The 679-nt window shown below is 42.0% G+C and overlaps 1 pseudogene; it reads left to right on the forward strand.

Annotated features, from left to right (window-relative positions):
- Positions 76-465, forward strand: RPL39P13 (ribosomal protein L39 pseudogene 13; annotated as a pseudogene).

The raw sequence follows: 679 nt of genomic DNA on the forward strand, positions 1-679 counted from the left end.
GGCTCTTGCCTGAATCCCAGTGCTTTGGGAGGCTGAGGTAGGAGTATCACTGAGGCCAGAAGTTTGACACCAGCGCCCTCTCTTCCTTTCTCCGCCATCGTGGTGTGTGCTTGACTCCGCTTCTCGCCATGTCTTTTCACAAGACTTTCAGAATTAAGTAGTTCCTGGCCAAGAAACAAAAGCAAAATCGTCCTGTTCCCCAGTGGATTCAGATGAAAACTGGTAATAAAATCAGGTACAACTCCAAAAGGAGACATTGGAGAAGAACTAAGCTGGGTCTATAAGGAATTGCACATGAGATGGCACACGTATTTATGCTGTCTGAACGTCACAATCATGTTACCATATCAAGCTGAAAATGTCACCACTATCTGGAGAGTTCAACATGTTTTCCTCTCTGAATCTGTTATAAACATGTTGGTTGGGCTGGGTTCAGTAATAAATACGTGAGGCCTTTCATTTAAAAAAAAAAAAAAGAAGAAGAAGAAGTTTGACACCAGCCTGGAAACATAGACTCTGTCTTTACAAAAAAAATGCGTGCACGAGACTGAGAGAGAGAGAGAGAGACCAATGACAACAAAACGACTAGCAAAAAAACTTTAATGGTTCCCATTTGCCAAAGGAATTAAAGTCCAAACTCTTAGGCAGACCTTCTTTCTGACCATTTCTGCTATTCATT

The sequence above is a fragment of the Homo sapiens genome, chromosome 1 (assembly GCF_000001405.40).
Source record: "Homo sapiens chromosome 1, GRCh38.p14 Primary Assembly".
NCBI lineage: Eukaryota > Metazoa > Chordata > Mammalia > Primates > Hominidae > Homo > Homo sapiens.